The 24,392-nt window shown below is 53.9% G+C and overlaps 1 protein-coding gene and 1 long non-coding RNA gene across 24 annotated transcripts in view, besides 1 other annotated feature; one reads left to right on the top strand and one right to left on the bottom strand.

The window, feature by feature from the left end:
• The window catches only part of TPO (thyroid peroxidase), a 169,627-nt gene that overhangs the window by 4,062 nt on the left and 141,173 nt on the right, over positions 1–24,392 (bottom strand). For all 21 annotated transcript variants that reach the window (XM_047445652.1, XM_047445655.1, XM_047445654.1 and 18 more), the window contains one exon: positions 22,630–22,729. In XM_047445652.1, coding sequence (XP_047301608.1) covers positions 22,630–22,729 — 100 coding nt within the window. The remainder of the gene's footprint in view (positions 1–22,629; positions 22,730–24,392) is intronic.
• LALTOP (lung cancer associated lncRNA targeting TOP2A) overlaps positions 1–24,392 on the top strand; it is a 140,518-nt gene that overhangs the window by 85,808 nt on the left and 30,318 nt on the right. The window lies entirely within an intron of this gene.
• Positions 23,156–23,657: an enhancer, noted in NCBI's record as "H3K4me1 hESC enhancer chr2:1519727-1520228 (GRCh37/hg19 assembly coordinates)". NCBI's record gives its function as "activates a minimal SCP1, AML or CMV promoter by ChIP-STARR-seq in naive H9 embryonic stem cells {active_cell/tissue: H9 hESC(naive)}" and the evidence as "EXISTENCE:reporter gene assay evidence [ECO:0000049][PMID:30033119]".

The following is a 24,392-nucleotide window of genomic DNA, read 5'->3' as shown; positions in this document are numbered from 1 at the left end:
TCCAGCACCGCCAGCAAAGTCCAGTGCACCGTCACCGCCCCACCCTTGCGGACTCCGACCTAGGTGTACATGGAAGACAGCCCTCCTGTCAGTGGGGAGGGCCTGAGTCTGCCTCTCCTCTGTACAGGCCCAACGGTCCTTGGTGGCTTCAGTGCTTGTGACGGTGTCATTAGGAGCAAATGGCATTTAGTCATCGCTTCAGCCTGATCACCGAGGGGGGCTGGGGTGTCGCTTGAGTTTGACTTGGTGACCTCTCCGCATCTCAGTTTTCTCATTCGTAAAGTGGGATAAAATAGCAACTTCCTTCAGTGAGAATACACTGACATAAAGTCTGTAAGGAGTTAGCACCAATGCCAGCTTCTATTAAAATTCAGTGAAGGTCAGGTGTTCGTGCGATGTGAAAGCACATTAATTTCTCATTCACTGTCTGCTCATTACTGTAAACGGAACTGGATCTACTTGATAATCATTTCAAAGTCACATCCACCCAGAACTTGGGAATGTTACCTTGCCTGGAAGTAAGGTTTTTTTCAGATGTAATTAGTTAGGGTGAGTCTATACTGGGGTAGGGTGGAACCTGGAATCCAGCAGGACTGGTGCCCTTATAGGAATAGGGGCATTTGAATACAGACACGCAGGGGAGAAGGCCGGGTAAAGACAGAGGGAGAGGTTGGCGTGAGGAGTCTGTAGGCCAAGCAATGCCAGTGAACACCAGCAGGGCACCAAAGGCTGGATGTGCAAGGCGCATTCGTCCTTCCAACCTTCGGGGGGAGCAAAGCCCTGCCAACACCGTGACTTGCTCTTCTGGTCTCCAGAACTGTGAGAACATCAACGTCTGTTGCTTTAAGCCACCAAACGTGTGGTTCTTTGTTATGGCAGCCCTCGCCCTCCTCAGCCTGAACCATCACCACTCTGCCTTACCTCTCAATATCCCAAGTAAAAGCCACCTGAAGCAACCATGTCTTAACAGAGCATGTCTTGGAAATGTTGAAAAAAGACTTTCCCCATTTTATGAATTTGCTGCATAATAGAAATTTAAATTAAAATAATTGGCATTCACTGTTCACCATTGTTTTATAAGCACCATGCTTATTTCAATCTAGAGAGCTCTTATGTCTTTTTAAATTATTTTCTATATTCATTGAGGTTCTGAATTGCATAAAAGCATCAAAAACAATCCTTGTCAAATAATCCTGACTTTTCTATACAATTGCATATATGGATATTTCACCATTTGAATTCGATCTTCTTCATGAACACTTTAGAAACAAGGACAGGGTATGCCCGTGCCTCTGAATTCAACCCGCTTTCCTTTGTATCAGGTCGGAGCACCACCTTAAGATGAGAAATATTAACTGCACTCTTACTAATTGAGACATGCTTCTGGGCAAAGAAGGGAGGAGAGATTCACAGGGAGAAGCCACTCCCTGCAGGGGGGATTTGAGGAGGTTGTACACAGTATGGGGTATTTGAGAAGGTTGAACACAGTGCGGGGATTTGAGGAGGTTGCACACAGTGGGGAGGATTTGAGGAGGCTGCACACAGTGTGGGGGATTTGAGGAGGTTGCACACAGTGGGGGGACTTGAGGTGGCACACAGTAGAGGGATTTGGGGGGGTTGCACAGAGTGGGGGGATTTGAGAAGGTTGCACACACTACGGGGGATTTCGGGAGGTTGCAGAGTGGGGGAAATTGGGCAGGTTGCACAGAGTGGTGGGGATTTGAGGAGGTTGCACACAGTGGGGGGGATTTGAGATTGCACACAGTGGGGGGATTTGAGGAGGTTGCTCACAGTGGGGGGATTTGGGGACATTGCTCACAATGGGGGGATTTGGGGAGGTTGTACTCAGTGAGGGAGATGTGGGGAGTTTGCAGACAGTTGGGGGATTTGGGGAGGTCGCTCACAGTTGGGATTTGAGGAGGTTCCACAGAGTAGGGGGATTTGCGGAGGTTGCACACATTGGGGGGGATCTGGGGATGTTGCACACAGCGGGGTGATTTGAGGAGTTTGCACACAATGGGGGGATTTGGGGGTGTTGAACACAGTTGGGGGATTTCAGGAGGTTGCACACTGGGGGGGATAGGCGGAGGTTGCACAGAGTTGGGGGGATTTGGGGAGGCTGCACAGAGTGGAAGAATTTGAGGAGGTTGCACACAGTGGGGAGATTTGGGAGTTTGCACACAATGGGAGGGTTTGGGGAGGTTGCTCACAGTGGGGGGATTTGAGGGAGTTGCACACAGTAGGGCGATAGGCGGAGGTCGAACAGAGTGGAGGATTTGGGGAGGTTGGACAGAGTAGGTTTGGGGACGTTGCAGAGGGTGGGGGGGATTTGGGGAGGTTGCACACAGTGGGGGGATTTGAGGTGGTTCGAAACAGTTGGGGGATTTGGGGAGGTGGCACACAGTGGGGGGATTTGGGGAGGTTGCTACACAGTTGGGGAAATAGGGGGCACTTGCACAGAGTGGGGGTATTTGCGGAGGTTGCACATAGGGGGGATCTAGGGAGGTTGCACACAGTGGACGGATTTGGTGAGGTTGCACACAGTGGCAGGGATTTGGGGAGGTTGCACACAGTGGGGGTATTTGAGGACGTTGCACACAGTGGGGGGATTTGAGGTTGCACACAGTGGGGGAGATTGGGGGGTTGCACACAGGGGGATTTGAGAGGTTGCTCACATTGGGGGGGATTTGGGAGGTTGCAAACAGTTGGGATTTGGGGAGGTTGCACAGAGTGGTGGGTATTCGGGGAGGTTGAACACAGTGGCGGGATTTGGGGAGGTTGCACACAGTGGGGGGGATTTGGGGAGGTTGCACAGATTGCGGGGGATTTGGGGAGATTACACAGAGTGATGGGGATTTGGGGAGGTTGCACAGAGTGGTGGGGATTTGAGGAGGTTGCATACATTTGGTTGGATTTATGGAGGTTGCACAGAAAGGAGATCTGGGGAGGTTGCACACAGTGGGGGGGGGGATTTGGGGAGGTTTCACAAAGCTAGGGGCATTTGAGGAGAATGCACACAGTGGGGCGATTTGGGGACGTTGCACACACTGGGGGGGATTTGAGGAGGCTACTCAGAGTGGGGGAGGAATTTGAGGAAGTTGCACGCAGTGAGAGGGATTTCAGGAGGTTGCTCACAGTGGGGGGATTTGAGGAGGTGTCACATAGTGGGGGGATTTGGGGGGGTGCACAAACTGGAAGGGATGGGGGAGGTTTCACAGAGTGGCGGGGATTTGGGGAGGTTGCACAGAGTGGGGGGGATTTCGGGACGTTGCACACAGTGGGCATTTGGGGAGGTTGCACAAAGTTGGGGGGATTTCGGGAGGTTGCACACAGTGGGGGGATTTGAGGAGGTTCCAAACAGTTGGGGGGATTTGGGGAGGTTGCACACAGTGGGGGCGATTTCGGGAGGTTGCACACAGTGGGGGGATTTGGGGGGCTTGAACACATTGGGGGGAACGGGGAGGTTGCATAGATTGGGGGATTTGGGGAGGTTGCACATAATGGGGGGATTTGGGAAGGTTGCACACAGTGGGGGGATTTGGGAAGGTTGCACACAGTGGGGGGATTTGAGGAGGTTGCACACAGTGGGGGGATTTGAGGAGGTTGCGCAGAGTGGGGGGGATTTGGGGAGATTGTGCAGAGTGGGGGGATTTGAGGAGGTTGCACATAGTGTGGGGGATTTGGGGAGGTTGCACACGGGATTTGGGGGGGTTGCACACATTCGGGGACTTGAGGTTGCACAAAGTTGGGGGGATTCGGGGAGGTTGCACACAGTTTGGGGATTTGAGCAGGTTGCACACAGTGGGAGGGATGGCGGAGGTTGCACAGAGTTGGGGGGATTTCGGGAGGTTGCACAGAGTGGGGGGATTTGGGGAGGTTGCACACACTGGGTGGATTTCGGGAGGTTGCACACACTGGGGGCATGTGGGGAGGTTGCACAGAGTGGGGGGATTTGAGGAGGTTGCACACAGCGAGGGAGGATTTGAGGAGGTTGTACACTGCGGGGCAATTTGAGGAGGTCTTCGCAGTGGGGGGATTTGGGGAGGTTGCTCACAATGTGGTGATTTGGGGAAGTGGCACACGGGGATTTGGGGAGGTTGCACCCAGTGGGAGGGATAGGCGGAGGTTGCACGGAGTGGGGCTGATTTGGGGAGGTTGCACAGAGTGGGGGGGATTTGGGGAGGTTGCACACAGTAGGGGGATTTGGGGAGGTTGCTCACAGTGGGGAGATTTGAGGAGGTTGCACACAGTGGGGGGATTTGAGTAGGTTGCATACAGTGGGGGGGATTTGAGGAGGTTGCACACAGTACAGGGATTTGAGGAGGTTGCATACAGTATGGGGGATTTTGGGAGGTTGCACAGAGTGGGGTGGATTTGGGGAGGTTGCACAGAATGGGGGGAAATTGATGAGGTTGCACAAGTGGCGGGATTTGGTGTGGTTGCCCACAATGGGGGGGGGGGGGATTTGGGGAGGTTGCACAGAGTGGGGGGATGTGAGGAGGTTACACAGAGTTAGGTAGATTTGGGGAAGGTGCACAGAGTGGGGGAGATTTGGGGAGGTTGCACACAGTGGGGGGGATTTGGGGAGGTTGTACACACTTGCGGCGATTTAGGGAAATTGCACACACTGGGGGGATTTGAGGAGGTTGCTCACAGTGGCGGAGGATTTGAGGAGACTGCACACATTGGGGAGGGATTTGGGGAGGTTGCACACAGTGAACAGATTAGAGGAGGTTGTGCACAGTGGTGGGATTTGGGGGGGTTACACACAGTGGGGGACTTGAGGTTGCACACAGTGGGGGGGATTTGGGGAGGTTACCCACAGTGGGGATATTTGAGGAGGTTGCACACAGTGGGGGAGATTTGAGGAGGTTGCACACACTAGAGGGAATTGAGGAGGTTGCACACTGTGTGGGGGATTTTTGGAAGTTGCACAGAGTGGGGGGGGTATTTGGGGACATTGCACAGAGTGGGCGGGATTTGTGGAGGTTGCACACAGTGGCGCGATTTGGTGCGGTTGCACAGTGTGGGCGGATTTGGGGAAGTTGCACAGAGTGGTAGGGATTTGGGGAGGTTGCACAGAGTGGGAGGGATTTGGGGAAGTTGCACACTGCGTGGGGGGTTTGGGGAGTTTGCACAGAGTGGGAGGGATTTGAGATTGCACTGGGGGTAATTTTGTGAGGCTGCACAGGGTGGGGGCGGATTTGGGGAGGTTGCACACAGTTGGAGGGATTTGGGGAGGTTGAACACAGTTGGACGACTTAGGGAAGTTGCACACAGTGGGAAAATTTGATGAGGTTGCGCACAGCGAGGGGGATGTGAGGAGGTTGCTCATATTGGGGGGATTTGAGAAGGTTGCTCTGAGTGATGGGGGATTTGAGGAGGTTGCACACAGTGGGGGAGATTGGGGGGTTGCACACGGGGGATTTGGGAGGTTGCTCGCATTGGGGGGGATTTGGGAGGTTGCAAACAGTTGGGGGGATTTGGGGAGGTTGCACAGAGTGGGGGCGTTTTGGGGAGGTTGCACAGAGTGGTGGGTATTCGGGGAGGTTGAACACAGTGGTGGGATTTGGGGAGGTTGCACAGATTGGGGGGGATTTGGGGAGATTACACAGAGTGATGGGGATTTGGGGAGGTTGCACAGAGTGGTGGGGATTTGAGGAGGTTGCATACATTTGGTTGGATTTATGGAGGTTGCACAGAAAGGAGATCTGGGGAGGTTGCACACAGAGTGGGGGGGATTTGGGGAGGTTTCACAAAGCTAGGGGCATTTGAGGAGAATGCACACAGTGGGGCGATTTGGGGACGTTGCACACACTGGGGGGGATTTGAGGAGGCTACTCAGAGTGGGGGAGGAATTTGAGGAAGTTGCACGCAGTGAGAGGGATTTCAGGAGGTTGCTCACAGTGGGGGGATTTGAGGAGGTGTCACATAGTGGGGGGATTTGGGGGGGTGCACAAACTGGAAGGGATGGGGGAGGTTTCACAGAGTGGCGGGGATTTGGGGAGGTTGCACAGAGTGGGGGGGATTTCGGGACGTTGCACACAGTGGGCATTTGGGGAGGTTGCACAAAGTTGGGGGGATTTCGGGAGGTTGCACACAGTGGGGGGATTTGAGGAGGTTCCAAACAGTTGGGGGGATTTGGGGAGGTTGCACACAGTGGGGGCGATTTCGGGAGGTTGCACACATTTGGGGGGATTTGAGGAGGTTGCAAACAGTGTGGGGATTTGAGGAGGTTGCACACAGTGGGGGGATTTGGGAAGGTTGCACACAGTGGGGGGATTTGAGGAGGTTGCGCAGAGTGGGGGGGATTTGGGGAGATTGTGCAGAGTGGGGGGATTTGAGGAGGTTGCACATAGTGTGGGGGATTTGGGGAGGTTGCTCACAGTGGGGGGATATGGGGGGATATGGGGAGATTGCACACAGTGGGGGGATTTGGGAAGGTTGCTCACAGTGGGGGGATTTGGGGACGTTGCACACAGTGGGGGATTTGGGGAGGTTGCACACAGTGGAGAGATTTGAGGAGGTTGCTCGCAGTAGGGGGATTTGAGGAGGTTGCACACAGTGGGGGGATTTTTGGGGGGTGCACACAGTGGGGGACTAGAGGAGGTTGCACACAGTGGGAGGGATTTGGGGAGGCTGGACACAGTGGGGGGATTTGAGGAGGTTGCACATAGTGGGGGAGATTTTGCGAGGTTGCACATAGGGAGATTTTGGGAGGTTGCAAACTGGGGGTATTTGAGGAGGTTGCGCAGAGTGGGGGGGATTTGGGGAGATTGTGCAGAGTGGGGGGATTTGAGGAGGTTGCACATAGTGTGGGGGATTTGGGGAGGTTGCTCACAGTGGGGGGATATGGGGAGATTGCACACAGTGGGGGGATTTGGGAAGGTTGCTCACAGTGGGGGATTTGGGGAGGTTGCACAGAGTGGGTGGTTGTGAGGAAGTTGTACACAGTTGGGGGGGTTTGGGGAGGTTGTACAGAGTGGGGGGGGATTTGTGGAGATTGCACACTGTGGGGGGGATTTGGGGAGGTCGCACACAGTTGGGGGGATTTGAGGAGGTTGCTGACAGTGGGGTATTTGAGGAGGTTGCTCAGAGTGGCGGGGGTTTTGAGGAGGTTTTGCACTGTGGGGGGGATTTGAGGAGGTTGCACAGTGCGGGGCAATTGCAGGAGGTTACTCACAGTGGGGGGATTTGGGGAGGTTGCTCACAGTGGTGGGGGATTTGAGGAGGTTGCGCACTGTGGGGGGTATTTGTGGAGGTTGCACACAGGGGATTAGAGGAGGTTGCGCACAGTGGGAGTTTTGTGGGGGTTGCACACAGTGGGGGACTTGAGGAGGTTGCACACAGTGGGGGGATTTGAGGAGGTTGCAGGCAGTGGGGGGATTTGAGGAGGTTGCTCACAGTGGTGGGGGATTTGAGGAGGTTGCGCACTGTGGGGGGCATTTGTGTAGGTTGCACACAGTGAGGGGATTAGAGGAGGTTGCGCACAGTGGGGGGATTTGTGGGGGTTGCACACAGTGGGGGACTTGAGGAAGGTGCACACAGTGGGGGGTATTTGGGGAGGTTGCACACAGTGAGGGGATTTGAGGACGTTGCACACAATAGGGGAGATTTTGGGAGGTTGCACACAGTGGGGAGATTTGAGGAGGTTGCTCGCAGTGGGGGGATTTGAGGAGGTTGCACACAGTGGGGGTGATTTGAGGAGGTTGCACACAGTAGGGTGATTTGAGGAGGTTGCACACAGTGTGAGGGATTTGGGGAGGTTGCAGAGAGTGGGGGTGATTTGGGGAGGTTGCAGAGAGTGGGGGTGATTTGGGGAGGTTGCAGAGAGTGGGGGTGATTTGGGGAGGTTACAGAGAGTGGGGGTGATTTGGGGAGGTTGCAGAGAGTGGGGGGGATTTGGCGAGGTTGCAAAGAGTGGGCGGGATTTGGGGAGATTGCACACAGTGTCGTGATTGGGCGAGGTTGCACACATTGAGGGGTGTTTTGGGGAGGTTGCACAGAGTGGGGGGGATATGGGGCGGTTGCACAGAGTGTGGGGGTTTGGGGAGTTTGCACAGAGTGGGAGGGATTTGAGGAGGTTGCACACAGTGGGGGCAATTTTGGGAGGTTGCACAGAGTCGGGAGGATTTGGGGAGGCTGCACACAGTGGGAGGGATTTGGGGAGGTTGCTCACAGTGGGAGGGATTTGGGGAGGTTGAACACAGTGGGGGCAATTTTGGGAGGTTGCACAGAGTCGGGAGGATTTGGGGAGGCTGCACACAGTGGGAGGGATTTGGGGAGGTTGAACACAGTTGGGGGATTTAGGGAAGTTGCTGACATTAGGGGGGATTTGAGAAGGGTCCACACAGTGGGGGGAATATGAGGCGGTTGCACACAGTGGGGGCGATTTGGGGTGGTTGCAGACAGTGTGGGGATTTGGGGAGGTTGCTCACAGTGGGGGGGATTTGGGGAGGTTGCACACAGTGGGGGGTTTTGGGGAGGTTGCACACAGTGGGGGGATTTGGGGAGGTTGCACACAGTGGGGGGATTTGAGGAGGTTGCACATAGTGGGGGTATTTGGGGGGGTTGCACACAGTGGGAAAGATAGGGTGAGGTTGCACAGAGTGGAGGGATTTGAGGAGGTTGCACATACTGGGGGGATTTGAGGAGGTCGCACATAGTGGGGGGATTTGGGGAGGTCGCACAGAGTGGGGGGGATTTGGGGAGGTTGCACACAGTGGGGGGATTTGCGGAGGTTGCACACAGTGGGGGTATTTGGGGAGGTTGCACGCAGTGAAGGGATTTCAGGAGGTTGCACACAGTCGGGGGATTTGAGGACGTTGCCCCCCATGGGGGGATTTGAGGAGGTTGCACACAGTGGGGGGGATTTGAGGAGGTTGCACACAGTGGGGGGGATTTGAGGAGGTTGCACACAGTAGGGGGATTTGAGAAGGTTGCACACAGTGTGGGGGATTTGGGGAGGTTGCAGAGAGTCGGGGAGTTGGGGAGGTTGCACAGAGTGTGGGGGATTTGGGGAGGTTGCACACATCGTGGGATTTTGTGACGTTGCCCACAATGGGGGGGATTTGGGGGGGTTGCACAGAGTGGGGGAGATTTGGGGAGGTTGCACAGAGTGAGGGGGATTTGAGGATGTTGCACACAGTTGATGGGATTTCGGGAGGTTGCACACAGTGGTGGGGATTTGGAGAGGTTGAATACAGTTTAGGGGATTTAGGGAAGTTGCACACACTGGGGATATTTGGGGACGTTGCACACACTTGGGGGGATTTGAGGAGGTTTCTCACAGTGTGGGGATTTTAGGAGGTTGCTCACACTGGCGGGGGATTTGAGGAGGTTGCACACAGTGGGGGGATTTTTGGGGGGTGCACACAGTGGGGGACTAGAGGAGGTTGCACACAGTGGGAGGGATTTGGGGAGGTTGGACACAGTGGGGGGATTTGAGGAGGTTGCACATAGTGGGGGAGATTTTGCGAGGTTGCGCATAGGGAGATTTTGGGAGGTTGCAAACAGTGGGGGGATTTGAGGAGGTTGCACAGAGTGTGGGAGACTTGGGGAGGTTGCAGAGAGTGGGGGTGATTTGGGGAGGTTGCACACAGTGTCGTGATTGGGCGAGGTTGCACACAGTGAGGGGTGTTTTCGGGAGGTTGCACAGAGTTGGGGGGATATGGGGAGGCTGCAAGGGGGGGGTTTGGGGAGTTTGCACAGAGTGGGAGGGATTTGAGGAGGTTGCACACAGTGGGGGCAATTTTGGGAGGTTGCACAGCGTCGGGGGGATTTGGGGAGGCTGCACACAATGGGAGGGATTTGGGGAGGTTGCTCACAGTGGGGGGATTAGAGGAGGTTGCACACAGTGGGGGGATTTGAGGAGATTGCTCACAGTGGGGGGATTTGAGGAGGTTGCACGCAGTGGGGGGATTTGAGGAGGTTGCACACAGTGGGGGTGATAGGAGGTTGCACACAGTACGGGGATTTGAGGAGGTTGCTCACATTGGGGGGATTTGAGAAGGTTGCTCTGAGTGGTGGGGGATTTGAGGAGGTTGCACACGGTGGGGCATTTGGGGAGATTGCTCACAGTGGGGGGATTTGGGGAGGTTGCAACAAGTGGGATTTGGGGAGGTTGCTCACAGTGGGGGGATATGGGGAGATTGCACACAGTGGGGGGATTTGGGAAGGTTGCTCACAGTGGGGGCATTTGGGGATGTTGCAGACAGTGGGGGGATTTGGGGACGTTGCACATAGTGGGGGGATTTGGGGAGGTTGCACACAGTGGGGGAATTTGGGGACGTTGCACACAGTGGGGGGATTTGGGGAGGTTGCACACAGTGGGGGGATTTGAGGAGGTTGCACAGAGTGGGGGGATTTAGCACGGTTGCACACAGTGGGGGGGATTTGAGGAGGTTGCACAGAGTGGGGGGGATTTGGAGAGGCTGCACACAGTGGGGGGATTCAGGGAGGTTGCACACAGTGGGGGGATTCGGGGAGGTTGCACACAGTGGGGGGATTTGGAGAGGTTAAACACAGTTGGGGGGATTTAGGGAAGTTGCACACACTGGGGAGATTTGGGGAGGTTGCACAGAGTTGGGATTTGAGGAGGTTACTCACAGTGGGGGGATTTTAGGAGGTTACTCACAGTGGGGGGATTTTAGGAGGATGCGCACACTGGGAGGATTTGTGGGGGTTGCACACAGTGGGGGACGTGAGGAGGTTGCACACAGTGGAGAGGATTTGGGGAGGTTGCACACAGTGGGGGATTTGAGGAGGTTGCACACAGTAGGAGGATTTGGGGAGGTTGCTCACAGTGGGGGGATTGGAGGAGGTTGCACACAGTGGGGGGATTTGAGGAGGCTGCACACAGTGTGGGGGATTTGGGGAGGTTGCACAGAGTGGGTGGGATTTGGGGAGGTTGCACAAGGTAGGGGGGATTTGGGGAGGTTGCACACAGTGGTGGATGTGGTGAGGTTGCACACAGTGGGGGGGATTTGGGGAGGTTTCACAGACTGGGGTAGATTTGGGGCGGTTGCACAGAGTGGGGCGATTTGGGGAGTTTGCAAAGAGTGGGAGGGATTTGAGGAGGTTGTACACAGTTGGAATTTGGGGAAATTGCACAGAAGGGGGGATTTGAGGAGGTTGCACACAGTTGAGAGATTTGAGGAGGTTGCACACAGTGGGGGGATTTGAGCAGGTTGCACACCGGGTGATTTGAGGAGGTTGCACACAGTGGCGGGATTTGGGGTGGTTGCTCACAATGGGGGGACTTGGGGGGTTGCAGACTTGGGAGGATTTGTGGAGGTTGCACACAGTGGGGGAATTTGTGTTTTTGCTCACTGTGGGGGAGATTTGGGGGGTTGCCTACATTGGGGGGATTTGGGGAGGTTTCACACAGTGGGGGGATTGGAGGAGGTTGCACACAGTGGGGGGATGTGGGGGTTTGCTCACAGTGGGTGAGATTTGGTTGGGTTGCACACAGTGCGGGGATTTGAGGAATGTTGCACACAGTGGGGGATTTGTGCTTTTGCTCACAGTGGGGGAGATCTGGGGGGGTTGCACACAGTGGGGAGATTTGAGGAGGTTGCACATAGTGGGAGGATTTGAGGAGGTTCCTCACATTGGGGGGATTTGAGGAGGTTGCACGCAGTGGGGTATTTGAGGAGGTTGCACGCAGTGGGGGGATTTGAGGAGGTTGCTCACATTGGGGGGATTTGAGGAGGTTGCACGCAGTGGGGGGATTTGAGGAGGTTGAACACAGTGGGGGGGATTTGAGGAGGTTGCACACAGTATGGGGATTTGAGGAGGTTGCATACAGTGTGTGGGATTTTGGGAGGTTGCACAGAGTGGGGGGGATTTGGGGAGGTTGCCCAGAGTGGGAGAAATTTGGTGAGGTTGCACACAGTGGCGGGATTTTGTGTGGTTGCCCACAATTGGGTGGGATTTGGGGAGGTTGCACAGATTGGGGGGGGATTTGGGGAGTCTGCAGAGAGTAGGGGTGACTTGGAGAGGTTGCACAGAGTGGTGGGGATGTGAGGAGGTTGCACACAGTTGGTATTTGGGGAAGCTGAACACAGTTGGAGGGATTTAGGGAAGTTGCACACACTGGGAGGATTTGGGGAGGTCGCACACAGATGGGGGGATTTGAGGAGGTTGCACACAGTGGGGTATTTGAGGAGGTTGCTCACAGTGGCGGAGGATTTGAGGAGGTTGCACACAGTGGGGGGGATTTGGGGTGGTTGCACACAGTGCGGGGATTTGGGGAGGTTGCTCACGGGGGGTATTTTGGGAGGTTACACAGTGAGGGGATTTGGGGAGGTTACACAGTGAGGGGATTTGGGGAGGTTGCTCACAGTGGGGGTTTTGGGGAGGTTGCACACAGTGGGGGGATTTGAGTAGGTTGCATATAGTTGGGGGATTTGGGGCGGTTGCACACAGTGGGAGGGATAGGGGAGGTTGCACAGAGTGGGGGGATTTGAGGAGGTTGCACACAGTGGGGGTATTTGCGGAGGTTGCAGAAAGTGGGGGGATTTGGGGAGGTGGCACACAGTGAGGGGATTTGAGGAGGTTGCTCACAGTGGGGGGATTTGAGGAGGTTGCACACAGTGGGGGGGATTTGAGGAGGTTGCACACAGTGTGGGGATTTGAGTAGGTTGCACAGAGTGTGGGGGATTTGTGGAGGTTGCACAGAGTGGAGGGGATTTGGGGAGGTTGCACACACCGGGGGATTTTGTGACATTGCCCACAAAGCAGGGGATTTGGGGAGGTTGCACAGAGTGGGGAGGATTTGGGGAGGTTGCATAGATTGGGGGGGATTTGGGGAGGTTGCATAGATTGGGGGGGATTTGGGGAGGTTGCACAGAGTGGTGGGGATTTGAGGATGTTGCACACATTAGGTGGGATTTGGGGAGGTTGCATACAGTGGGGGGGGGATTTGGGGAGGATGAACACAGTTTGGGGGATTTAGGGAAGTTGCACACACTGGGGAGATTTGGGGAGGTTGCACAGAGTTGGGGGGATTTGTGGAGGTTGCTCACAGTGGCGTGGGATTTGAGAAGGTTGCACACAGTGAGAGGATTTGAGGAGGTTGCGAACACTGGGAGGATTTGCGGGGGTTGCACACAGTGGCGGACTTGAGGTTGCACACAGTGGAGGGGATTTGGGGAGGTTGCACACAGTTGGGGGATTTGAGGTTTCACACAGCATGTTGATTTGGGGGGGTTGCTCACATTGGGGGGCATTTGGGGGGTTGCACACAGTGGGGGGAATTGAGGTTGCACACACTGGGGGGATTTGTGGTTTTGCTCACAGTGGGGGAGATGTGGGGTGTTTGCACACTGTGGGGGGACTGGGGTGGTTGCTCACAGTGGGGGGGACTTGGGGGTGTTGCACACATCGGGGGGATTTGAGGAGGTTGCACACAGTGGGGGGATTTGAGGAGGTTGCACACAGTGGGGGGATTTGGAGGTTTGCACATGGAGGGATGGGGGAGGTTGCACAGAGTCGGGGGGATTTGGGGAGGTTGCGCACAGTGGGAGGATTTGGGGAGGTTGCGCACAGTGGGGGGATTTGGGGAGGTTGCACACAGTGGGCGGATTTGGGGAGGTTGCACACAGTGGGGGATTTGGGGAGGTTGCTCACAGTGGGGAGATTTGGGAAGGTTGTAAACAGTCGGGGGATATGAGGAGGTTGCGCACAGTGGGGGGATTTGAGGAGGTTGCACACAGTATTGGGATTTGAGGAGTTTGCACACATTGTGGGGGATTTTGGGAGGTTGCACAGAGTGGGGGGCATTTGGGTAGGTTGCACACGGGGAAATTTGGTGAGGTTGCACACAGTGGCGGGATTTAGTGTGGTTGCCCACAGTGGGGTGAGATTTGGGGAGTTTGCAGAGTGGGGGTGATTTGGGGAGTTTGCACAGAGTCGGGGGGATTTGGGGGAGGTTGCACATAGTGGGTGGGATTTTGGGGCTTGCACACATTGGGGGGATTTGAGGAGGTTGCACACAGTGGGGGGATTTGTGGTTTTGGTCATAGGGAGATTTGGGGGGTTTGCACACAGTGGGGGGATTTTGGGAGGTTACACACAGTGGGGGGATTTGAGGAGGTTGTACCCAGTGGGGGTTTTGGGGGTTTGCTCACAGTGGGGGAAATTTGGGGGTGTTGCAAACAGTGGGGGGTTTTGGGGAGGTTGCACACAGTGGGGGGATTTGAGGAAGTTGCACACATTGGGGGGATTTGTGGTTTTGCTCACAGTGGGGGAGATTTGGTGGAGTTGCACATAGTGAGGGGATTTGAGGAGGCACACAGTGGGGGGGATTTGAGGAGGTTCCACAGAGTAGGGGATTTGAGGAGGTTGCACCCAGTGTGAGGGATTTGGGGAGGTTGCACACAGTGAGGGGATTTGAGCAGGTTGCACAGTGGGGGGACTTGGGCGGATTGCACACAGTGGGGGACTTGAGGAGGTTGCACACAGTGAGGGTGATTTGGGGAGGTTGCACACAGTTTGGGGATTTGAGCAGGTTGCACACAGTAGGGGGATTTGGGGGGGTTGCACACAGTGGGAGGGATAGGGGGAGGTTGCACAGAGTTGGGGGATTTGGCGAGGTTGCTCAGAGTTGGGTGGATTTGGGGAGGTTGCACACACTGGGGGGATTTGGGGAGGTTGCACAGAGTCGGGATTTGAGGAGGTTGCACACAGCGGGGGAGATTTGAGGAGGTTGTACAGTGCGGGCAATTTGAGGAGGTTACATCACAGTGGGGGGATTTGGGGAGGTTGCTCAGAATGTGGGGATTTGGGGAAGTGGCACACAGTTGGGGGATTTGAGGAGGCTGCTCATAGTGGGGCGATTTGGGGAGGTTGCTCACAGTGAGTAGAGTTGTAAAGGTTGCACACACTGGGGGGAATGTGGGGAGTTTGCACACAGTGGGGGGATTTGGGGAGGTTGCCCACAGTGGGGGGATTTGAGGAGGTTGCAGGCAGTAGGGGGATTTGAGGAGGTTGCACACAGTGAGCGGATTTGAGGAGGTTACACACAGTAGGGGGATTGGGGGGGTTGCACACAGTGGGGGACCTGAGGTTGCACACAGTGGGTGGGATTTGGGGAGGCTGCACACAGTGGGAGGATTTGAGGAGGTTGCACACAGTGGGTGGGATTTGGGGGGTTGCACACAGTGGGGGGATTTGGGGGGGTTGCACACAATGGGAGGGAAAGTTGGAGGTTGCACAGAGTGGGGGGGATTTGGGGAGGTTGAACAGAGTGGAGGGATTTGGGGAGGTTGCTTACAGTAGGGGGATTTGGGGTGGTTGCACACAGTGTGGGGATTTGAGGAGGTTGCTCACTGTGAGGAGATTTGAGGAGGTTGCACACAGTGGGGGGATTTGAGGAGGTTGCACACAGTGGGGTGGATTTGAGGAGGTTGCACACAGGATGGGGATTTGAGGAGGTTGCACACAGTTTGGGGGATTTTGGGAGGTTGCACAGAGTTGGGGGTATTTGGGGAGGTTGCACGGAGTGGGGGGAATTTGGTGAGGTTGCACACAGTGGCAGGATTTGGTGTTGTTGCCCACAATGGGGGGGATTTGGGAAGGTTGCACAGAGTGGGGGGGATTTGGTGAGTTTGCAGAGAGTAGGGGGGATTTGGGGAAGTTGCACAGAGTGGGGGGATTTGGGAAGGTTGCACACAGTAGGGGGGATTTGGGGAGGTTGATTACAGTTGGGGGGATTTAAGCAAGTTGTACACACTGGGGGGATTTGGGGAGCTCACACACAGTTGGGGGGATTTGAGGAGTTTGCTCACAGTGGGGGGATTTGGGGAGGTTGCACACAGTGAGGGGATTAGAAGAGGTTGCACACAGTGGCGGTATTTGGGGGGGTTGCACACAGTGGGGGACCTGAGGAGGTTGCACACAGTGGGGGGGATTTGGGGAGGCTGCACACAGTGGGGTGATTCGAGGAGGTTGAACACAGTGGGGGGTGATTTGAGGAGGTTGCTCACAGTAGGGGGATTTGAGGAGTTTGCACACAGTGTGGGGGATTTGGGGAGGTTGCACAGAGTGGTGGGGATTTGGGGAGGTTGCTCAGAGTGGGGGGGATTTGGGGAGGTTGCATAGAGTCGGGGGGATTTGGGGAGTTTGCATAGAGTGGGAGGGAACTGAGGAGGTTGCACACAGTGGGGGTAATTTGGGGAGGTTGCACAGAGTGGGAGGGATTTGGGGTGTTTGCACACAATGGGAGGTATTTGGGGAGGTTGAACACAGTGGGGGGATTTAGGGAAGTTGCACACAGTGGGGGGATTTGGGGAGGTTGCTCACAGTGGGGGGATTTGGGGAGGTTGCTCACAGTGGGGGGATTTGGGGAGGTTTTACACAGTGGGGGGATTTGGGGAGGTTGCTCAAAGTGGGGGGATTTGGGAGGTTGCAAACAGTTGGGGGGATTTGAGGAGGTTGCACACAGTGTGGGGGATTTTGGGAGGATGCACAGGGTGGGGCGGATTTGGGGAGGTTGCACAGAGTGCGCAGGATTTGGGGAGGTTGCACACAGTGTCGGGATTTGGTGAGGTTGCACACAGTTGGGGAGATTTGGGGAGGTTGCACAGAGTTGGGGGGATCTGGGGAGTTTGCACAGCGTGGGAGGGATCTGAGGAGGTTGCACACAGTGGGGGGAATTTGGGGAGGTTACACAGAGTGGAGGGGATTTGAGGAAGTTGCACACAGTGGGGGGATTTGAGGAGGTTTCACACAGTGGTGGGATTTGAGGAGGTTGCACCCAGTGGGGGGATTTGGGGTTTTGCTCACAGTGGGGGAGATTTGGGGGGTTGCACACAGTGGTGGGATTTGAGGAGGTTGCACACAGTGGGGGGATTTGAGGACCTTGCATACAGTGGGGGTTTGGGGAGGTTGCAGACAGTGGGTGGTGTTTGGGTGTAGCCTTTGCGATGTGTCAGACTTGAACATTCGAAGCCAGGTTGAGATGATAAGGAGGGAGTATTCTATGGAGAGATTGAGGCTTGAATAAAAGCCAAGAAGTGGGAATGGCTGGGCATCACACGGTGGCAGGGCCTGTGTGAGGTAGATGGTCTGGGGGCAGGAGAGGGAGACAGATCAGAGAGACTGTGAGGGCACGGTGGCGGGCCGGTGTGGGGTAGAGAGTCTGTGAGGGCACGGTGGCAGGCAGGTGTGGGGAAGAGAGACTGCGAGGGCACGGTGGCAGGCAGGTGTGGGGTAGAGAGACTGTGAGGGCACGGTGGCGGGCCGGTGTGGGGTAGAGAGTCTGTGAGGGCACGGTGGCAGGCAGGTGTGGGGTAGAGAGACTGTGAGGGCAAGGTGGCAGGGCCGGTGTGGGGTAGAGAGACTGTGAGGGCACGGTGGCGGGCAGGTGTGGGGTAGAGAGACTGTGAGGGCACGGTGGCGGGCCGGTGTGGGGTAGAGAGACTGCCAGGGCATGGTAGCAGGGCCAGTGTGGGGTAGAGACTGTAAGGGCACGGTGGCAGGGCCGGTGTCGGGTAGAGAGACTGCCAGGGCACGGTGGCAGGGCCGGTGTGGAGTAGACAGCCTGGGGTCAGGAGAGGGAGGAAGGCACATTTCCCACCTATACTTGCTCAGAAGTGGGTGAAGAAAGTGGGGCCACAGAGGGAGGGGCTGGGAGCTGCCCAGAGAAAGCAGATGAGCCTGGCAGCCAGGCTTGGGTTCTGGGCTGGAAACTGGACAATGCGTTTAGCTGAACCCACGGGGGGACTGGGGTGGGAGGCTGTCCTTGCTGTGGTTCATGTGTGACCAGGCTGGGAACAGCTCCCCCTGCTCATTTCCAGGGCAGACGTGGGTCTCTAAGGAGCGCAGGTCCTTCCCCAGGTCCTCTGGGGCCTGAGTGCCTCACAGACGCCGTACTGACTCTGAAGGATTCCACTACAACAGGTTCGGATCCCCCATGCTGTGTAGCCCAGGCTGGCCACTCTACGTCTGTCCCCCAGCAAAGGGCCAGTTCTCTCGGACTTCCCTAATGACGTCCTGAAGACAATTCCTGTCATCAACATGCAGTTCAGATGACCAGAAGCTTCAGACTCCATCTCAAGAGACTCAGGCCGTCTCTACCCCAAGAGTCTGGGGAAAGAGGGCCCTGGGGGAGGAGGGTCCCTGGGGAGGAGGGTCCTGGGGGAAGAGGGCACCCGGTCACCCATGGCTTACAGGGATCCCGTGGCCCACTGCCCCATGGCTGCCTCGGCCTAGTCCCAGCTGGCCTCCCTCCAGCACGCTTATGAATCTAATGATAAAGAGAGGAGAGATGGCAGGAACCCCCCGTGACGTGCCTAGAGAAACAGCACCCGTCAGCTCACAGCGTGGGAAGGTGCAGGAGGGAACAAAGGGTTAGACGTCCTGGACGGAGGACAAACCTGGCTGCATCCTAGGGAAGGACCTCGCGGCTTTCCCATGGATTTGCTGGAAATTAATGCAAATGATTCAAACTTTCTTGAATTTATAATGCATACCATAGGTAGGAATATCAATACAAAATACAACTGAAAACAGCAAAAAGGTATAGGGCACCGTTTATCAACGACAAGGAAAACCTGAAAAATTGTATTTCAGAAATTGCAGAACTAAGTGATGGTGGAAAAGTAGAATTGGTAAAAATAATAAAAACAAGAGCGAATGGAGAAAGGACTGGAACTGCACATTTAGCATCTTCCCTGGACAGTAAGAATCAACAGACAGACAAAGTCTTCATGAAATTTAAGTTTAAAATGCTGAGCTAAGAAAGCCGGATCTGAAGAAATCATAACACAAAGGAAAACACCTCCATGGCGAAAGGTCTAATTGGCAAAACTGACATGGACCAAAGAACTGATTTGAGGAATGAATTTTTAGTGTAAAAGTTTGCACAGAAAGAATTCAACTTGGTGAAAACAATTTCAATGCAATAAAACAAGCATAATACCGTGGAGGTATTTTAAATGCAGTGTCAAGAAAGTTGATGGAGGAGTTGGTTTCATGGAGTTAACTCCGAATCGTAGATTTGCAGTGAAAATATATCAACAATTTGTCACATTAATAACAATCACACCAAAACATACAGTGTGAGACCCCAGACAGCAGGGTGGGTAGAAAACGAGGAGAGTAGAGAAGCAAACACCTTTGTCTCACTAGGAGAGGAAACGTGTTTGCTGAGCACCTGCTGTGTGCCACACCGTGCTGGGTTCTCTCCCCTCCCGTGTCTCTCTCTGCTGTCTCTGTCTCTCTTTCTTCCTATCCCTCTCTGTTCTCCTCCCTACTCCTCACCGCACAATAATGCCCTAAGGTGGAAATAAGATCATGTTTTTAAAAGCTGAAGAATAAGACACAGGGAGGCGAGGCTGGGATTGTGTTGAGCCCATTTGCTGGGAGCAGAATAGGGGTCTCAGGGTAGGTGGTGGGAAGACATTTCCTAATGAGTGACTTGACCTTCTGAGCTCACCTAATCACAGGTCTGGGGGTGCTGTGGTTTTGGTCCAGGATGTTTCTGCCCTGGAGCCCCAGGGTCTTCCCTGTTATGGTCTCTGACTCTGTAACTGCCTGTGTTCTCAAGCGTGTGATGGCACATTAACATCCACTTTTTCATATCTTTCAGCTAAGTGGCATTTTGCAAACTAAATTGGTGCTTGGTAGCGTATTTTTAGAACTCCAGAGTCTAAAATCAACTATAGCCAAATATTTCTCTCCCAAGTTCCCTTGGAAAGGTATTCATTTCATCTATGGCTGTCAATCTTAAAGAAAATTGCTATTTTTCTTGTGAGTGTGGGCTACAGACACTAATATTTATTATAATGATAATGTGATAGATGTTTATAGGGATGTTTGCAAATACAAAATTGTTTATGAATAGGAAATTATAGTCGTATCAGTTTTTGTTACAATTATACATTTCATAGTTCTAATTACAGAACCAGCTAATTTGAAGTTATTTGCTTACAGCCTATTCAATTTTTATTGCTTAGTCTATTTCATGGTTAGCTGAGGGTTTTAATTATTAGTTATTAAAGTTTTTAAGGTTTAAAGACCAAATGATTCATAAAACATAGGGAATATTTCCTGCCACCACCCCATCTAAAACTAGAGACACCATTTAAAGGTTAAAGTACTCTCTTTCCAAAACAGATCAGTATAGTGTCTTGTAGAGAGAGTAGGTGATTATTCAATCTTCACTGGTAATGATTATTTGAAACAACAGCCCTGGCATGTGGAATATAATCTTCTCGCGAGGAGAAGCAGGGCAGCTGTGGCACGACCTCCAGCACCAGACAGGTCTTGGGTTCAAGGATCTGCTCTGGGCCTACCAGCTTTGAGCAAGTAACAGGCTCTCGCTCCACCTCCACATGCTACACTGAAAATGGACACAATCATAGCACTTCATTAAGTTTTCTGGGGCTGCAGTCACAGAGGACCACAGACTTGGCTGCTTAAACAGCAGTTTATGACCTAGAGCTCTGGAGGCAGGAGTCCACATCAAGGTGCCTGCAGGCGGCTCCCCCGGCCTCCCTCCCAGTTCCTGTGGCTGCTGGCGATCTTCCCAGGCCCCAGCTTAGAGAAACCCCACCCTGATCTCTGCCTTCCCGTCAAGATGGCCTTCGCCTGCTCAGCATGACTCTGTCCAAACTCTTCTTTCTAGAGGAACACCAGCTATACTGAATTAGGGGCCCCTCTACTCCAGGACAGTCTCATTTTAACTAATTACACCTGCAGAGACCTTAGTTCCAAATAAGGTTACGTTCTGAGGTCCTAAAGGTCAGGATATAAACATATGTTCTGGGCAATGCACAGTTCAAGCCATGGCAAGCACCTGAGTCAGATGATTGATCAGAAAATCAGAGGAGACAGTGGCTAAGGATGACTTAGCATTACATCTGACACATGGCTTTAGCCATTACTATCACCTCTCTACTGGAAGGAATTTCTCACAGTTGTCTGAATTATGGTGTATGTTAGTTTTGTTAGAAGCTATGAAGCTACTCAGAAATACGTCACTGAAATATCATATGCCGGATAGATCATAAGCTCATGCATCAAATGCAGGCATCTGGGTCAACCACAGCAGTTGTCAGAGGCCTTGCAGAATAACTGAAATGGGGAACTGGCTTTACTACCATATCTCAGCCCCAGAGAGACAGGATGCAGAGCAGATGGCAGGTACAGAGTCTTCCCTTACAAGTGATCACAAAAATAAAAACAACAGAAAAGAGTCCATTAACTGTGGATTCTTGACAAGGCCCTTTGGAAACGATAAAGATCATGGGTAACATCTGGTTGCTAAGCTTTCAAGTTTTTAAAAACCAGTTCCTGTAGGAGGTGCAAAGACTGTAAGAAAAAGATTTCCTGTTCAAGGGGCAGATGTTCCTCAGTGTACTGAGAAGTTGCTAGAAAAATGAAGTTTGCTAGAATGTTGAGTTTCTATTATTGGGAAGATGAGAAACACCCTGGAAGATGGCCTTAGAGTGGGAAAGTCCTGGATAATCCATAGATATGTGGTATCGGGTGAGGCTGGGAGGCTTGGATAATCCATACATGTGTGGTATGGGGTGGTGCTGGGGGCTCCGCCAGTGAGGAGCTCTGAAGGCCGGGGTGGAGGGCGAAGGTGACTGCAGGGGTCATCCTGGCAGAGGGCAGGGCTGGCTGCAGCAGGAGTGTGCACAGGGCATATTGGGGGGGGGAGCCTGGCACTCAGGGAGAGCAGAAGCCGAGAAACTGTGGCCTCTATCTGCAGGTATCCTGGGCATGGCCCTGGGGGCCCAGCCTGGGCCTGCAATGACTTCTTATAGTGTTTGCTGTTATTTTTAATACTGTCTATATAAAATGAACAATTGTGCATTAAAAATGGAAGGGATGCTCAAGGAGTTTGGTGCTCAAGAGCAGCAAGGTGAGAGGCAGCAGCAAGGTGAGAGGCAGCAGCAAGGTGAGAGGCAGCAGCAAGGTGAGAGGCAGCAGCAAGGTGAGAGGCAGCAGCAAGGTGAGAGGCAGCAGCAAGGTGAGAGGCAGCAGCAAGGTGAGAGGCAGCAGCAAGGTGAGAGGCAGCAGCAAGGTGAGAGGCAGCAGCAAGGAACAGAGCCGGTTCCTCAGGGCTAGGGACATGGACCAGCTGCCGCACCTGAGGAAGCCTCGAGGGGCTCTTTCTGCAGAGAGCACTCTCACAGGGCAGGGCCTCTCAGGTGCGGGTCTGAGTCTTTCAACAGCAGCGCCATTTTTAACATGAAAGTTCAACTTCCAATTTCTGCCCTCAAGGGAGGGAATAAAACTGAAGAATAAAACTTTTTATTCATGGATGACCTTTTTTCTCTGAGAAACCTTTGTAAGAATCTTTACTCCTAACAAGAGACTACTTCAATGCAATCATTTAGTGTTAGAAAAGTGTTCCATATTGCTGAATGTTCGTCCACAGATACCTGACACCACCTAAGGTGTACAAATGATCACTCCACTTTCATTATTTAAAGCATAATGAAAGATCCGGAGAGTCTATTACGTTGTACAAAATAGCTCTGAGATCAATGCCTTTGAGATACCAGTAACCTGTGTTAGCTTCGGGAAAATAAAGCAGCTTCATTGCAGCCATGTCCAGAGGAAAGGAGATTGCTTTGTGTCTAAGTAACAGTCAAAAAGTGAAGGACTTACCACCTGCAAATCACCGTCGAGGTGAGACCTGCGAAGCCTCCGATCAGCAGAGCAGCCAGCGACATGGAGATCCAAGTCACCCGAGGGAGCCTCCCGGAGTCTGGGGCACAGAAAGAGGCCTGGTTAGAAGAACCTTCCAGGGCCTGGGCAAGCCAGGTTGTCCTGCCTGAGTCTGGGCCATACCCTGTCCTGGGCCAGTGGCCTTCACCCCACAGCATGACGCAGGGAGGGAGGGACATTTATCTGCCCAGAAAAGCCATTTAGACCACTAAGTCCAGATCCGAATGTGACGTGTGTGGGGAGAGCCAGCAGGGGACACAGGGCAGAGAAGTTAGCTCTCTCTATGGAACCTCACTGTGGGTTCGGCATGGACGCGTCCTGCAGGACAGAAAGCACACCTTGCTGCCCAAACCAGGGAGGGCTCTCAGTGCCCTCGGAGTGGACCACAGGACCCAGGGAGCCCTGGAGGCCTCGGACCGGGGCGGGAAAGGTTCGCAAGGTGGGCTGTAAGGGACGCGGTATAACGCTGTGAGGTTTTGCCCTTGGCTGCATTTTATCTTTCCCAGAAGCCTCCTGGAGGTGAAACCGTGGTTGAAGGAAGGTGGACAGCACCTTGCAGAGCTGGAGCCCTGGGGGGACGGGGGCACGGGATGGCAGCAGATTTTGGAGCTCATCCTGGGTCTCATCAGCCAATTCCAGAAAGAAACCGAACAAGGTTGGTGGGAATCAGACAGAGAAGTGCAGGCCTGATGGGACAGAGGAGAGAGGCAGCCCAGGAGCCGGCCCCAGAGCATCTGGTGAGGGGCCTGAGGAAGTGCCTCCCACCTGGACCTGTGTCTTCATCTGAAAAAGCCGGGGACTGAGTAACGGCTCCTGGGCTCCAGCCCTTGGCTTCTGTGCTTTCTGCAAGGAGCTGCCAGCCTGGGGCCACTGCGGCTCTGAACTCAGAGCTCCTTTGACCACAGTTTTATTACCGACTTTTCTGTTTGGATACCCATTCGAGGTGGCCGAGGAGAAATCCAAGATGAAACGAAAACTGACTTTTAAATAAGAATTTAAATACTACCAATCAGCGTTTTTTTTTTAAACAAACATGGGTCGCCCTGGATAAACATCATCACGTGTGGTTGAAGATAGGCTCTGGGGCTAAGAGAGCACATTCAGGTACCAGACAGAGGCAGCGGCTGGGGGAATGGGTGCTTGGTTTGGTTCTATTTCTCACACTGGATTTTTTAAAGTCGGTGATGAATGCGTCTGTGGGTGACTGCGGTTCCCTGTGCCACTTAGCACCTGGGCATGATTTGCAGGTGTGTCTCATTTGCAGCCCGGACACAGGTCGTGTCCATGGCTGTCTTCCTATCATGGGTCTTTCCCAGCCCAGACACAGGTGGTGTCCGTGGCTGTCTTCCTCGCATGGGTCTTGGACACTCAGCAAGCATTTGTTGGATACAAGAATGAATGAATAAACCCTAAATGCGCATCCTGACTGTTTCTCCAAAACGATCCTGTCCTCTTAGCCTTTGCACCTCATGACTTTTCCTCCTGGGCTCCTCTAACCATCCTCCCGCCTCCAGGATCTCCTTCCTGCCACCTTTCACAGACGCAGGGGAGTCTGCAGGGCAACCTGAGCACACCAGCCTCTTGCTAAAAGCCCATGGGGAGCAGAGCTGCTTGCTGGCCCTGGGATGCCGCTCCTCCTGCATCCAGAAAGAGGCTGGGTTCTTGTTTCCATCTGCTGCTACTCGCTCTCACCCCCATGGCTG

The sequence above is a fragment of the Homo sapiens genome, chromosome 2 (genome assembly GCF_000001405.40).
Source record: "Homo sapiens chromosome 2, GRCh38.p14 Primary Assembly".
Classification (NCBI taxonomy): domain Eukaryota; kingdom Metazoa; phylum Chordata; class Mammalia; order Primates; family Hominidae; genus Homo; species Homo sapiens.
The sequence above is the reverse complement of the archived record's forward strand: the minus strand, read 5'-3'. Positions and strand labels throughout refer to the sequence as shown.